General features: G+C 38.3%; 1 protein-coding gene across 2 annotated transcripts in view; it reads right to left on the bottom strand.

The window, feature by feature from the left end:
* The window catches only part of NUP205 (nucleoporin 205), a 90,837-nt gene that overhangs the window by 34,165 nt on the left and 40,941 nt on the right, over positions 1–15,731 (bottom strand). For both annotated transcript variants that reach the window (NM_001329434.2, NM_015135.3), the window contains exons 16-23: positions 13,620–13,719; positions 13,082–13,219; positions 11,595–11,784; positions 10,129–10,249; positions 8,363–8,444; positions 7,674–7,838; positions 7,218–7,342; positions 316–430 (exon numbers count right to left, since the gene is read on the bottom strand). In NM_001329434.2, the coding sequence (NP_001316363.2) occupies positions 316–430; positions 7,218–7,342; positions 7,674–7,838; positions 8,363–8,444; positions 10,129–10,249; positions 11,595–11,784; positions 13,082–13,219; positions 13,620–13,719 (1,036 nt within the window). The remainder of the gene's footprint in view (positions 1–315; positions 431–7,217; positions 7,343–7,673; positions 7,839–8,362; positions 8,445–10,128; positions 10,250–11,594; positions 11,785–13,081; positions 13,220–13,619; positions 13,720–15,731) is intronic.

The following is a 15,731-nucleotide window of genomic DNA, read 5'->3' as shown; positions in this document are numbered from 1 at the left end:
GAAATCTTCGTAAAACAATTTTCATTCAAAAACTTTAAATTCCCATTAATTTTCTAATCCCTTCAACACAATCTTTAAATTTTATTTGTTGTAAGAGAATCAAATTCCATCCTTGATAGGCTATATTTAAATAAGTTTTTGCTAGCAGTTAAAATATCAGCCTTCTTTAAGCAGAAATTACAAAAAGAACCCAAAATAACAAAGAAGCCAAAGTATCAGAATGAGAACAGAATTCCCCCAAATATTGTATAAATAAAATCACTTAACATGGAATTATAAATGTGTTCTTATAAATACGGGAAAATAATGGCCTACCTTTGTTAGAAAATGGTAGATACTGCAACTGGGAAAATAAGAAATCCTGGCTGGTTCTCAAGTACCTCATAGTAGGACCAGATGTATCAGAGCATGCACATAACTGATATATGACCTAAAGCATTAAAGTAAGAAAAATCCCTGAATCAGTCTTTCTGTGTTACACATATTATGGTAACAAAATATGAACTTAGACCTACTAAGTGAAAAACTAGGACCCATCAACAACTCAAGTAAAATGGACAAACAGATGCACAAAACATAAGCTCAGAGTTATGAACAGTCCTTGGCAACCTAGCTCAAGAAAATACACTGAAATACAATGGAGTGCTGGTGACATTATTACACAACTATTATTAATATACTTATTAATATATACACATATAGTTAATTTTACTATACACATATAGTACATTTTAGTATTTTAGCTTAATTATTAGTAGCAGGCCGGGCACGGTGGCTCACCTCCCAACACTTTGGGAGGCTGAGGTGGGCAGATTACTTGAGGTCAGGAGTTTGAGACCAGTCTGCTCAACATGGTGAAACTCTGTCTCTATAAAAATACAAAAATTAGCCAGGCATGGTAGCGTGTGCCTGTAATCCCAACTACTCGGAAGGCTGAGGCAGATTAATCACTTAAACCCTGGAGGTGGAGGTTGCAGTGAGCCAAGATCATGACACTGCACTCCAGCCTGGTGACAGGGCAAGACCCTGTCTCAAAAAAAAAAGAAAAAAAAAGAAAAGAAAAAAATTATTAGTAGCAAATTACTTGGAAATAACTTCTGAGAACCATAAGAGTTACATCTCAACCTCTGGAAGATTAAAATTACCAAAACTAAAGCAAATGCAGAAATTACAAAGAAGATCCATAAATTCAACTAAATAACAATAAACTGAATAAAAATTTAACAAAAAAGAATAGATAAGAGAAAAAGTTCTTATATTAAATATAAGAAAAAGTTGCTAGCTCTAATATATATAAAGATCTCCATTACAGATATGAATAACATAAAGATCTAAGTACCCCAGATGGTAAAAGTAGCCCATATGGTAAAAGACATTTTATATGAGAAAAATAAAAATAGCCCATAATAAAAAATGTCCATCTGTTTTCAGGAATTAAAAAAAAAAATCAAGATGATAATAGGTAGGTATCATATTATAAATCAGCAAATTTTTTTTTTTTTTGAGTCAGGGTCTCACTCTGTCACCCAGGTTGGAGTACAGTGGTGCAATCACAGCTCACTGCAGCCTCAACCTCCTGGGCTAAAGTGATCCTCCCAGCTCAGCCTTCTGAGTAGCTGGGACTACAGTAATTGCATGCCACCATGCGTGGCTAATATGAACATTTATTAGATGCTTTCCATGTACCAGGCACTTTAAGACATGTTTATTCTGAGCACTATTAATACCTAGTATAATTGTTATGACTACTTGTGAATTAAAATCTAAAGCCAAAACTCTTGATAGTCTTTGACCCAACACAGTCAATCCTCATTATTTACAGATTCCATATTTGCAAATTCACCTAACATGCTAAAATTTATTTAAAATCCCAAAATCAATACTTGCAGTGCTTCCATGGTCCTTCATGCGCGGGAGAACAGCTACAAACTGCAGTCACCGAACTCTCATGCTCTCTAATGGAGCAATGCTTTTCCTGTTCCAGCTATCATACTATAAAAAGGGTTCTTTAAATGGTCTATTTAGTGCCACGTTTTTTGCATTTTTGTGCTTTTTGTTGATTTTGCTGTTTAAAACAGCCCCCAAGCATAGTGCTGAAATGCTGCCTTGTCCCTAAGTGCAAAAAGGCTGTGATATGCCTTTAAGATAAAATACTACATTAGATAAATTTCATTCAGGCTGAGTTATAGTGCTGTTGGCTATGAGTTTAATGTTAATGAATCAACTACATTAAGTAAGGTGTCTTTAAACAGAAACACACATAAAACATGATTATGAATTCATCAGTTGACAAGAATGTTGGAACCAGACACTTGCAGGAATCCTAGCCTGTATTTTCCATAGGGGCAATGAATTCACCAATTCAGTTTTCACAATGACTTTATAAAACACAACTACTGTGAATAACGAGAACTGACTATAAACCCTTGTCTGGAAATATATTCTGTTTTTTTTTCTTCTGTTTTTTTTGAGATGCAGTTTCATTCTGTCGCTCAGGCTGGAGTGCAGTGGCGCGATCTCGGCTCACTGCAAGCTCCACGTCCCGGGTTCATGCCATTCTCCCGCCTCAGCCTCCTGAGTAGCTGGGACTACAGGTGCCCACCACCATACCCGGCTAATATTTTGTTTTTGTATTTTTAGTAGAGACGGGGTTTCACCGTGTTAGCCAGGATGGTCTTGATCTCCTGACCTCATGATCCACCCGCCTCAGCCTCCCAAAGTGCTGGGATTACAGGTGTGACCCACAGTGCCCGCCTGGAAATATATTCTTAAGAAAAATACAAAACAACCAAAGGTAATTTATTTATTTACAACTGCCACCTCCCAGGTTCAAGCGATTCTCCTGCCTCAGCCTCCCAAGTACCTGGGATTAACAGGCACATGGCATAACGCCTGGCTAATTTTTGTTTTTTTGTTCGCTACAGCAGAGTAAAAAAAAAACTGGAAACAACCTGAATGTAATTTACATTGTTGCAGCACAGAAAGTTTATACAGAGAGGAGTAAAAAAGACACAAAATTTCATGTATACTGAATACAACTATAAACAATGTATATACACAAAGAGAAAGAAGACAAGGAAAAGAGTAAAAAGCTCTGCTACAGATGTACATTGACCTTTTAAACAGTTTTGATACCATTTTGATATTCTATAAACAAACAAAAACTTAAGCTAATACCGAACTTCTCAAAACAAAATCAGTTAGGTCTATTACTGGGGGAGTTAAGAAAACACAAGAAGATACTCTAACAAGTGGAAGAAATAATACTATCAGAAGAGAACTGCCAGGCAGTGACTCACGCATGTAATCCCAGCACTTTGGGAGGCCAAGGTGGACGGATCACCTGAGGTCAGGAGTTTGAGACCACCCTGGCCAACATGGTGAAACCCCGTCTCCACTAAAAATACAAAAATTATCCAGGCGTGGTGGCCCAGGGACGCCTGTAATCCCAGCTACTTGGGAGACTGAGGCACGAGAATTGCTTGAACCTGGGAGATGGAGGTTGCAGTGAGCCGAGACCACACCACTGCACTCCAGGCAAGGCGACAGAGCAAGACTCTGTCCCCCACCCAAAAAAAAAAAAAAAAGAAGAGAAGGACACAAAAAGTGAGTTCAAAAAGCACTGAAAGCCATTTTATTAAGATGTGGGCTATATCCTTCCTGGTTTCCAAGACCAGGGACCAGGTAGAAGAAATCTCCGTTCTTAAAGAAAAGAGGGCAAAGGCACCAGGCCTCAACTTCTTCACCCAGAAGCCCTTGTGTTGCAGGACAAGGAAGGTATCAGTAAGGACCATTTCCCTTTGCTACAATCAGATTTATTTAAACTAACAAGCTCTTCTTACTTAGAGGTTTAAATTTTTTTCTGAAGCAGGGTGAAGTACAAACATATAGGTATAGGGAGTATATTTAGTTATAAATGGAGCAGTGCTTTCTGTAAAAATGCAGATCCTGACTCATCAGGTCTAAAGTGGGGCCTCAGATTCTGCACTAATAAGCTCCTAGGAGATAATGCTGATGATACTGGTCCCTGGGCCATATTTGAGTAGCAAGGTCACAGAGCATATGTTATGGCCGGGCACGGTGGCTCACGCCTGTAATCTCAGCACTTTGGGAGGCCAAGGCGGGTGGATCACCTAAGGTCAGGAGTTTGAGACCAGCCTGGACAACATGGTGAAGCCCCCTCTCTACTAAAAATACAAAATTAGCCGGGTGTGATGGCACATGCCTGTAATCCCTGCTACTTGGGAGGCTGAGGCAGGAGAATCGCTTGAACCCGGGAGGTGGAGGTTGCGGTGAGCTGAGATCGTGCCACTGCACTCCACCTGGGCAATAGAGTGAGACTCCATCTCAAAAAACAGTAACAACGACAACAGAGAGTATGTTATAAACTGGTAAACTGCTGGTATGGACATGTTTTCCTTGGCTAGTAGAGTGTTCTAAAAGTTAGAACAACTTTAACAAAAATTCAGATTTCCAAATTCTTTTAAAAATGAATAAATAAAAATAAAAATTCAGACAATCTGGCCCAACAAATCCTGCACTCTGGCATGGTAAAATAAGCCAGGGATGAGTAGGAAGGCACATGCTCTCCAGTCTGCCAGATTCTCCTTTCCTCCCACTCCCTTAACTGGACCCTGGCTTCATTCATTTACTTCACCTGCCATTAGCCTAGGTGTTAAGCTTATCAGTTGTTTCTACTTATATATCAAATTCTGTAAATCTGTGCTAATATGTACATCAAATTTGTTCCCCCATAAGGAAGAATTAATTTTGATTTACAGGAAAACCTAGCTATAGTACTTACAGTGAAGGGATGTTTGGACAGCCGGAGGACAGAAAAGATAGTAAAGAATTACAAAAAGAAAAGCAGGAGATTAACAAAGAAAAATATCCATGCCAGTAACACTAAGAGGTTAGTGATGCATTTCTTTTTTTTTTTTTGAGATGGGGTCTCGCTCTGTTGCCCAGGCTGGAGTGCAGTGGTGCGATCTCGGCTCACTGCAAGCTCCGCCTCCCAAGTTCACGCCATTCTCCTGCCTCAGCTTCCCAAGTAGCTGGGACTACAGGCACACACCACCATGCCCGGATAATTTTTGTATTTTTTTTTTTCTGGGACAGAGTTTCGCTCTGTCGCCTAGGCTGGAGTGCAGTGGCGCGATCTCGGCTCACTGCAAGCTCCACCTCCCGGGTTCACGCCATTCTCCTGCCTCAGCCTCCCGAGTAGCTGGGACCACAGGTGCCAGCCACCATGCCCGGCTAATTTTTTGTATTTTTAGTAGAGATGGGGTTTCATTGTGTTAGTCAGGATGAATTTTTGTATTTTTAGTAGAGATGGGGTTTCACCATGTTCACCAGGATGGTCTTGATCTCCTGATCTCATGACCCACCATTTCTTATCCTAAAAATGTAAATTTAGGGTAACACTTAAATTGAGAAATTAGTCACAGCTTATAAAGCCTGGTTCTTTTTTTTTTTTTTTTTTTTGAGACGGAGTTTTGCTCTTGTTGCCCAGGCTGGAGTACAGTGGCACGATCTAGGTTCACTGCAACCTCTGCCTCCCGGGTAGAAGCAATTCTCCTGCCTCAGCCTCCTGAGGAGCTAGGATTACAGGCGTCCACAACCAGGCCCAGCTAATTTTTTTTGTATTTTTAGTAGAGATGGGGTTCCACCATGTTGGCCAGGCTGGTCTCTAACTCCTAACCTCAGGTGATCTGCTCACCTTAGCCTCCCAAAGTGCTGGGATTAAAGGCGTGAGTCACTGCACGCGGCCAAGCCTAGTTTTTAAAACACTTATAAAATGAATAAAACAATAAACAAAAGTGAACAAGCGAAATTATAAATTATCATTATAGTTTACTTATGTATTTATTTTTATTTTTTTTGAGACAGAGTCTCACTTTGCCACCCAGCTGGAGTGCAGTGGCATGATCTTGGCTCACTGCAACCTCTACCTCCTGGGTTCAAGCAATTCTCATGCCCCAGCCTCCCAAGTAGCTGGGATTACAGGCACGTGCCACCACGCCCAGCTAATTTTTGTATTTTCAGCAGAGACAAGGTTTTGCCATGTTTCCCCGGCTGGTCTCCAACTCCTGGCCTCAAGTGATCCAGACCACCTCAGCCTCCCAAAGTGCTGGGGTTATGGGCGTGAGCCACCATGCCCAGGCCCAGCCCTCATTATAGTTTAAATGTTAATCTGACATTCTACCACTTAACATAGTTGTATACAGGACTTCTTAATTTATTTGGTTATTAAAAAGTGCTTTCTGGCCAGGCGCGGTGGCTCATGCCTATAATCCCAGCACTTTGGGAGACCGAGGCAGGTGGATCACAAAGTCAAGAGATTGAGACCATCCTGGCCAACATGATGAAACCCTGTCTCTACTAAAAATACAAAAATTAGCTGGGCATGGTGGGCACGCCTGTAGTCCCAGCTACTTGGGAGGCTGAGGCAGGAGAATCGCTTGAGCCTGGGAGGTGGAGGTTGCAGTGTGCCACAATCACGCCACTGCACTCCAGCCTGGGCAACAGAGCGAGACTCCATATTAAAAAAAAAAAAAAAAAAAGTGCTTTCCCAGCCTGGGCAATGTGGCAAAACACCATCTCTACTAAAACTACAAAAATTAGTCATGCATGGTGGGACACACATATAGTCCCAGCTACTTGGGAGGCTGAGGTGGAGGATCATCTGATCCAGGGGAGGTTGAGGCTGCAATGAGCTGTGATCACACCACTGCACTCCAGCCTGGGTGACAGTGAGACCCCTTCTTAAAAAAAAAAAGTGCTTTCACTTACATTCTCATTGAAGTCTCTCAACAGTCCATTTCACAGTTTGAAAAACTCAGAGTCAGAGACGTTTCATGCCATGCCCAAGGTGACTTCACCTGTCATGGGGCAGAGATGGGAACCAGAGGTCTTCTGACCCATCAGAAGGAGCTACTTTAAACACAGCACTGTTGGAAAGTTTCTACACTACTGGTAAAAATCCATCACAAAAATCTAATTTCCTCTATTTTTCAAGTGATTAACATAAGATTTGGGTCTATAAGAACTTGGGGTTTGTGCTTTACGGATTTTATCCACAAATGAAAGACAGGTCAAATTGCTAAATGAACTCATTTCAACTAAGTCCTGCTGTTATACTGTCATATCTGTGGCGTACTCATGCACCTGGTCAAGTTTCTTCTATTCAGTACCACAAAACGCAGTTTTCTGTGTACCTGGTAACATAGCTCAGCCAGCTGAGGAGATTCTCGCACCGCCACTGGGCCTGTTCTCCCTTCCGTTCCTTTCTCCAAGATGTTTAGAATGGCGTGAAGGCATGTCCGAGGGCAACCTAACACTCCTGCATGAAACCAAAAAGAAATTCAACTTTTCTTTTAGAATTGCTGCATTAAAATCTTAGACTGCCTTTTCAAAAGTTAAATTCTTTAAATATATGCTGTACTGTAAACACTCTTTCAAATACTGATAACAGAAAATTGATAAAGGCTGATTCTCTATAGCTCAGTTTGTCCAGTCTTGTTCTAAGCCCTAAAGAACTGACCCATCCATCACATTACCTTTCTTACACTTTTTCTTTCAATGAATTATCCCATGAGCCCAGAATGCAATCAGTGACCCCTGAGATACACAAATATGGAAGGAAAGAAATGCCTTTATGTCTTAGGCTATACCTGGATCTTGTAGGTTTGTAGTACTGACAGGTTTTTTCAATTCAAAGCCCAACAGGTAGAGAGCAAGATTGGGTGGATTGCATTCCAGAGAGGTAATGAGAAGATTCAAGATGTGGATTCTTGTTTCATGACGAATTGCAACTAATTTCTTTTCAAGTTCTGATCCTTAATGCAGAAATCACAAAACAAAATTACAAAACAGTGGAAAGTTAACGTAAGTCAAATAAAAAATACAAAACTTGTATTCCAACTCCATGTTTTCTTTAGATCGTTTGCCTGATTATCTATCACATTCATTTCAGATTTATTTAAAGTGGAATCCTAAAAACCTTATAAATTTACAAGTTGAGTACTCTTTATCTGAAATGTGTGGGACTAGAAGTGCTTCAGATTTCAGATTTTTTTGAATTTTAGAATATTTGCATTATACAGGTTGATGTATAATCCAAAAATCCAAAAATCCAAAATCCAAAATGAACCAATGAGCATTTCCTTTGAGAGTCATGTTGGTGGTGGTCAAAAGGTTTCAGATTTTATTTTGGATTTTGCATTCTCAACCTGTATTCTAGCAAATTCTCAATTCCTCTTACACCATCACTAAAACAGTTAACAATTACAAGTGTTTTCTTTAAATTAAGCATATATAAAAAGTAAAAGAATGCGTGTATGCACATTAATCTAAGGCATACCCTCTTCCAGACGTACAAATTCTTCTGCATCTTCACAATCCAAACACTCCACAAATCCAGCCATTAGTTTCTGACTTATACTCTGAAGTAACATGAAGGTAAAAAATGACAAATTATTACAGGTTTCTAAATATTAGAAAAACTATGATTGATATATGTAAATATTCATCCATAAGGAAAAATAGGCAAACCTGCTTAGGTATTTACGTTTTAGTTACATTTTTAATAGAAAACTCAGTTCCTTAAGTTGCCGTAAGTTAGCTCTCTATACACATAATTAAAGAAACAAAAGTTTTATAAATTCATTGATTTCAAAACTTGCTTCCTAATTTTCCTTCCCAAAGCATCAAGCTAGTTAAAAAAAAAAAAAAAATCACGAAATTGCTGTTTACTGACCTCTTCATTATATAGTCAATGTTACGAGATCTTAACTAAAACATAAAATAAAATTTTCATCTTCTCTCTTTAGAAATGTATTACTTATCACCCATTTTCTATTTCTGAGCTGATTTTGCCTTTAATAATCTAGGAGGATGTTAAATCAGTAATAACAATTTATACCAAAATCAACCCAAAAATCAGCACATCAAAAACCTTCAGCATCCCCTGATTATCACAAGGTTTCATAAACCTCATCCATAAGCCACAGATGAGACTTACACCTCTTATGGTGGTTCTCATGCTGGGTGGTACCACCACTCCAAAGGGAACTTAGAAATAAGTGGAGTCATCTAAGTAATCACATCTAGAAGTTACTACTGACAGATAGTGGTATCTAGGGATGCTAAAGGTACTAGATGTGAGGGACTATAACACACAAAATAAGATCTGTGCCATCCAACATGCCAGAAGAATCCTTATTTCAAAATAGGGACTCTATGAAGGACTACACAATAAAATCCTTCAACGAGGCCAGGCACGGTGGCTCAGGCCTGTAATCCTAGCACTTTGGGAGGCCGAGATGGGCACACTGCTTGAGCTCTAGAATTCGAGACCAGCCTGGGTAACATGGTAAAACCCAATAATACAAAAAAACTAGCTGGGCGTGGTGGCATGCACCTGTAGGATCGCTTGAGCCCAGGGGCAGAGGCTGCAGTGAGCTGAGATTGTGCCACTGCACCCCAGCCTGGGTGATAGAGCGAGTTCCTGTCTCAAAAGAAGAAAAAAAAAAATTCTTCAACTAGCTAAAGCAGTGATTTCCAACATAAAGATACAATGGGATGAAATGTTCATAAAGAAAAAAAAAAGCAGATTCCGCAATTGTAGGTATTCAGTGAACAGAACTATTATAACTTGAATAAAAAGAGGAACTCCTAAAAACACTCTACAGTGTCATCAAATGAAGTGACACACAGGTGGATCACAAGAAAACCAGTGAAGTAGACAACTTACAACAACGAAATATTCAGAACTTGCAGAGGGCTCACTTAGAACACAGGCAACTGACAGGTCGGGAGCAGTAAACAAACAAGTTAACAGCAAACCTAATCATTTTGAACGTGCTGAGAGTAGCAGTGGTCATGTACCCAGAGTAGCAGTGTGCCACATACCATAATTATGCAGTATCACTGTGAATAGCATTATCTTCAAAGATAAGTCATAGCCAAGTTCGTGGGTAGGTTTTCACCCATCCTATACAAATATACTTACTCTTAATGAATTTTTCCACAACCAAGAATATGATTCCTCCATAGACACTAGAACTTCCATATATAGTCAAAATGCAAAATGCACCAAAAAATAACAAGAGCAACAAAATCAGTTACCTGGTCATGTGTGAAATCTCCAACCAACTTTATCTGAATATTAGAGTTGCAAGAGATACAACAGAGGATCTTGGCACTTTCAAAAGCCAATTCTGGATTAGTATTGCCATGATATAGGTATCTTTAAAGAAAAGAAAACATTTGAGGAACAGTGATAAAATTTTTGGTGTCTCACTATTCTCAATAAAGAAAATTTAGAACCAGGGCTTCCCCTGCCCATACAGCACTTCAAGGTAAATAAGAAAAAGCTGTCCCCTTCTAAATAGATGCAGTCTGTTAGGGGTTGAATCATATCCCTGCCCCCAAAATCCTTATGTGAAGTCTGGCTAACCCAGTGACCTTATCTGAAAGTAGGGTCTTTGTACATATAGTCAATCGAGTTCAGACGAGGTCATTAAGGAGGCCCTAATAAAATATGACTGGTGTCCTCATAAAAAGGGTAAATTCAGACACAAACACACACACAGGGAAACTGCCATGTGACGCTGAAAGCAGAGATCAGGGTGATGCTTCTATATGCCACGGAACATCAAACCACCAGAAAGCTCAAGTTTTCTGTGAAAAGTCTGCTTCCTTTCCAGCCCTATCCTCCAAACACCTAGTTTCCCTACAGGAGACAGACAATATTGTCATTTTAGACTTAGAGATTTCGGGTGGGCACAGCGGCTCACACCTGTAATCCCAGCACTTTGGGAGGCTGAGCTGGGCGGACTGCTTGAGGTCAGGAGTTTGAGACCAGCCTGGCCAATATGGTGAAAGCCCATCTCTACTAAAAATACAAAAATTAGCTGGGTGTGGTGGTGCACATCTATAGTCCCAGCTACTGGGGAGGCTGAGGTGGGAGAATCGCCTGAGCCTGGGAGGCGAAGGTTGCAGTGAGCCAAGATTGTACCACCGCACTCCAGTCTGGGTGACAGAGCGAAATGTTGTCTCAAAAAGACAAAAAAAAAAAAAAGTAGACTTAGATTCTTAGAACATGGAAGAGAAGAAATTGTAAAGTTCAGAGTAATTAAAATCAGGGTAGCTAAAGAAGGCAACAGTAAAATAAGGCTGGGCGCGGTGGTTCACGCCTATAATCCCAGCACTTTGGGAGGCTGAGGCGGGCAGATCATGAGGTCAGGAGTTCAAGACCAGCCTCACCAACATGGTGAAACCCCGTCTCTACCAAAAACACAAAAATAGCTGAGCATGGTGGCACTCACCTGTAATCCCAGCTACTCAGGAGGCTGAGGCAGGAGAATCGCTTGAATCCAGGAGGCAGAGCTTGCAGTGAGCTGAGATCATACCACTGCACTCTAGCCTGGACGACAGAGCGAGACTCCATCTCAAAAAAAAAAAAAAAAAAAAAGTAAAATGAGGCAAAAATAAAAAAAAAGGTGATGCACTAGATACCTAACCAGATTTGAAAATCAAAGCTAGAATGTCTATCTGTTTACTTCATTTCTCTACCTACAAAGGTAACTTACCTGGCAATGTTTACCACATTATCTGCCTTCTTAGTTCTGGGATTAATTCCCTGCAAAAGCTGTTCTAAAGGACAGACTATTAGAGCCAGTTGACTCTCTCTTAGAAGGTCCATAAAAAGATTTTCCTTTTGCAGAGTAAGATTGAGAAGTGCAAGGCAATGCTGTACTGCTTTCTCCAGGTGTTTTTTCCCTATCAACCAAAAATAAAGTTAGAAAGTTCTAAATTTATCTTAAAAACTCACAGTCAATTCTTAGGAAAACAAGACAAATGACAAGTTTTAGATTTTCAGATCTAGAGATTCAGACTCTTGTTTCCAACTTTCAGCAGCAAAACCTAGAGATTTATGCTCTCATTGTTTCAAAATTTCAGCTCCAACTTCACAAAACCATTCATCTATGCAAGTCATCGTTATTTTGCAATCCAGAAAACTCCCATGGAATGGATTCTCAAATCACTTCTTTATCTTTTCCCTTATTGTTTAGAGCAACAGTTCTCAGAATGGGGTGGCTGAGCCCCAGGGCACATTTGACAATGTCTGGAGACACTTCTAGTTGTCCTAACTGGAAATGTGCTACTGGCATCCAGCTTACAATACACAGGACATCATCCACAACAAAGAATTATTCAGCTCAAACTGTCAATGGTGCCAAAATTGAGAAACTCTGATCTAAAGTAAGACCAAATCACTGTGGAAAATAACGCAGAAAATAGAAACAAGGATCACCTATAATCTTACCAATCAAATTTAAAATTGTGGCCTAATTCTTCCTATAGTGTCTTATCTGTATATTCTGACTATACAGTTATTGTTCATATGTTTAGAATCTCTTTTCTCATTTTGATCACAGCCACATTAAGTAGAGGTAATATAGCATCGTGGTAAAAAGCATGAGCTCTGGAGCCAAGATGACTAGGTTCAAATCCCAGCTCCCACACTTGATAGGGAAAGCCAGTATAACTTCGTTGTATTTCAGCTTCTTTATTTGTTAAATGGAAATAAGAAGATCTAACACATTTTTGAATAGATTGAATGCATTAATATATGCAATGTGCTTTTAAAAGAGCCAAATACATAGTAAGCATTCAATAAATAATAATTAGTGGTAATAATAACAAGTAAAATTTATTGACCACTATGTATCAAGCACTATAGTAAGTCCTTTTAAAAATATTATGAGGTGGGGGATGGACAAAAAAGTACTTTAAAGTTAGGGATGTTAAAGATGTTAAAATGATAGAAAGATCACTTTACCTACAAAAGACCCTGCAGTGAAACACAGTGACAGTGAGATTCTCTCTGTACTTTAGTCTGTTTTTACTTACAATACTCTCATTTAAATGATTCACTGAAAACACCACTTCAGATACAGAGAGAGAATCTTACAGTGAAAAATGACTTCAGAGATCATCTATTTCAAATTCTCAGTTTACAAAAGATGAAAACATCAAAGCTGTTTGCAAGACATGAAGGCTTTTAAGCATATACCAGGAAAGGGGGCATAGGTGTCAAGCTGCTTAACTCCTTCTTCCAGTAAACTGAGAGCAAGCTCCAACATTGGTGACTCATTCAGCAGATGATACATCAGACTAAATCCAGGTGGCTTATAGGCTATGATTTCTTCTCCTAAATAGAACATAACATATTCCAAGAGATGATGGGTTAGTATTTTTGTCACACCCTTGATTTATATGAAATGTATGAGACTTGTAAATTAGATGGCATCTAGATAGATAAAGGCAAGTTTCAATTTAGAGACACAGCAGTAATTCTCCTAAGGGCAAATCTGCACAAAGCAGTTAGTCAGCTATTCTATTAACTCATTAGAGAAATTGTAATGCAGTGTTCTTGATCTTCCATTCAATAATTTTTTCTCTTGAACAGAAAAATTAAAATGATTAAAACAATGAAACAAAAGATTAAATTCTAATTTAAAAGTATAATTTTTAATTTATATATAACATAGCCATAATTTATAAATTATAAATAGTTGACAACTTGTTTGAAAGTGACAGAATTAAATTACCTTGTAGTTCCACAAACTGGTCTACAAAATCTTCAAGCTGAGGCTCATAATCTCTGAGCAATTTATAAAACACCTCCAAAACCACCTCAGCAACTTCCCACTATAGAAAGATATAAATAGGTCAATAACAATAAAACAGACCAAGGTGGTGGCCTTGCAAGGCTTTTCACTCTTCCCACTTCTTTTTCCAGAAAATGAGTGAAGTTTCTTGTCCACTTTATTCACTTACGCTAAGCAATATAGAAATCCCAATTCATTTTGCTTTATTTTGCTAAAAGATAATGAATTGGCTCATTTTCAAGGTAAAATATTTTCAATGCATTATTCTTAAAGATACATTTTTATAGATGTTTGGAATTCATTAATACATTGAAAACATTTAGTATCTAGTCATATTCAATTTATAATTAAACATCAAATTTGGACACTTTTCAAGTGCCAAACATTTCACATTTTCTCTAACAAGCCTGCCTGCAAAGAATCTGAGAAATCATCTCATCTAAATTCCTTATAAGTGAAGCAAGTGAAGCTCAGAGCAGTGAATGAATTCCCCAAGATCATAAAGCCTGGCAGCAAACAGGCTGAAAGTCAAGCCCAGGCCTTCTCATTCTCAGACCAGGGTTCCATCCGTGACTATAGTCAAAGAAGGTTAAGAAGACACAATCACTGGTAGGCTTGCCCCAAATATTCCCATTATCGCCTTCTTATTCAAAATGTATTTAAAAGCTATGTACCAGTAAAGAAAAATACTTATGCCAAAAAAATTATATACAACTGCATAGCCAGTAAAATTAAAACTTTGTTTAAAAAATCCACTACATAGAATTTTAATAAGACTGGGTTTGGTCATTGCAGACAGGGTGGTTTTATGAATTACTATTTTAAAATTATTATTTCCACTGCACATAATTGTATCAAGGTTGAGTTAGAAAATGGGACTATAAAGTGACTTTTAAATTATTTTTATATTATTCACTGTTTTGCATTTTCCAAAATTTTCAAAAAATTTTATTTAAATAAAAAAGGCATATTACCACATAATAATGGATTTAGGACTGGTAAACATACCAATTGCCTCTAACACGCTGTTATTTATCTCAATCCAAAGCACTGTTTGTGTGAGCAGCTAGTGTCCTAAAATAGTCATATAAATTAGATCTCAAGAACACTTTCAAGTAAAATAAATTCACAAAATTGAGGGAAAGTTTTTTAGAGTAAGTTGGGGTGGAACTGAAATCAATGGCAGCCAGGGAAAAGCAGCAACACTTGAAGTGTGGCTCTGCATGGGTGAAAAGTGATAGCATCTGGAGAGAATATGGCTAACTAATGCTCTAAACACTCAGATCACAATGACCTTTTTAAGAAAAAGCATATAAGACATTTAAAACAACTGTAAAAAAGTATCAGAACATTTTGATGAAATGAGTGCTGTAATTATCAGCACTCATTATTCATCTGAAATGACTTTATTAATGAGGCATGGTTGCTGTTATTGTTTTCTTCCCATCAGGAAATACATGTTAAGTTCTAGAGCCTAAGTAAAGTGTATACCCCACCTCAGTGTTTATTTTTACAACCTGGCAAGCAAAAATTCTAATGCAATTGACAAAAAAAAAGAACTTCAATTATTTGTGACTAAATATAAAAAACAAGCTATATCCAATGACAGGGCAGTGAATAAACTATGCTAGATACAAGTAACAGATTTTATGCAGTCACTAAAAAGACTATTTTCAAAGAATATCTTAGGACATGAAAAAAATCCCCATGATGCTAAGTGACAAAAAAGAAATACAAAGTAATATAACTAATTATCTCAATTGTTAATTAAGTCTACAGGCATAGGAAAAAGACTAAAAGTAGTTATCCTTCCTTTGGCAACAAAATTAAGGATGATATAATTTCTTCATATATATATACACTTGTTTTTTTCAGATGGAGTCTTGATCTGCGCCAACTACCAAAATAAAGCAGAAACATTCCTACAAGATACAACCAAGGGTATTCTGTAAGGTTAATAAACAGTATTATAGACTAACGTGAATTACATCAGAACCTGGAAGAGTCTCTTACATAGCTTAGTGGCTATGAGCTTGGATCTGGAATCAGAGT

Source organism: Homo sapiens, chromosome 7 (assembly GCF_000001405.40).
Source record: "Homo sapiens chromosome 7, GRCh38.p14 Primary Assembly".
Lineage (NCBI taxonomy): Eukaryota > Metazoa > Chordata > Mammalia > Primates > Hominidae > Homo > Homo sapiens.
The sequence above is the reverse complement of the archived record's forward strand: the minus strand, read 5'-3'. Positions and strand labels throughout refer to the sequence as shown.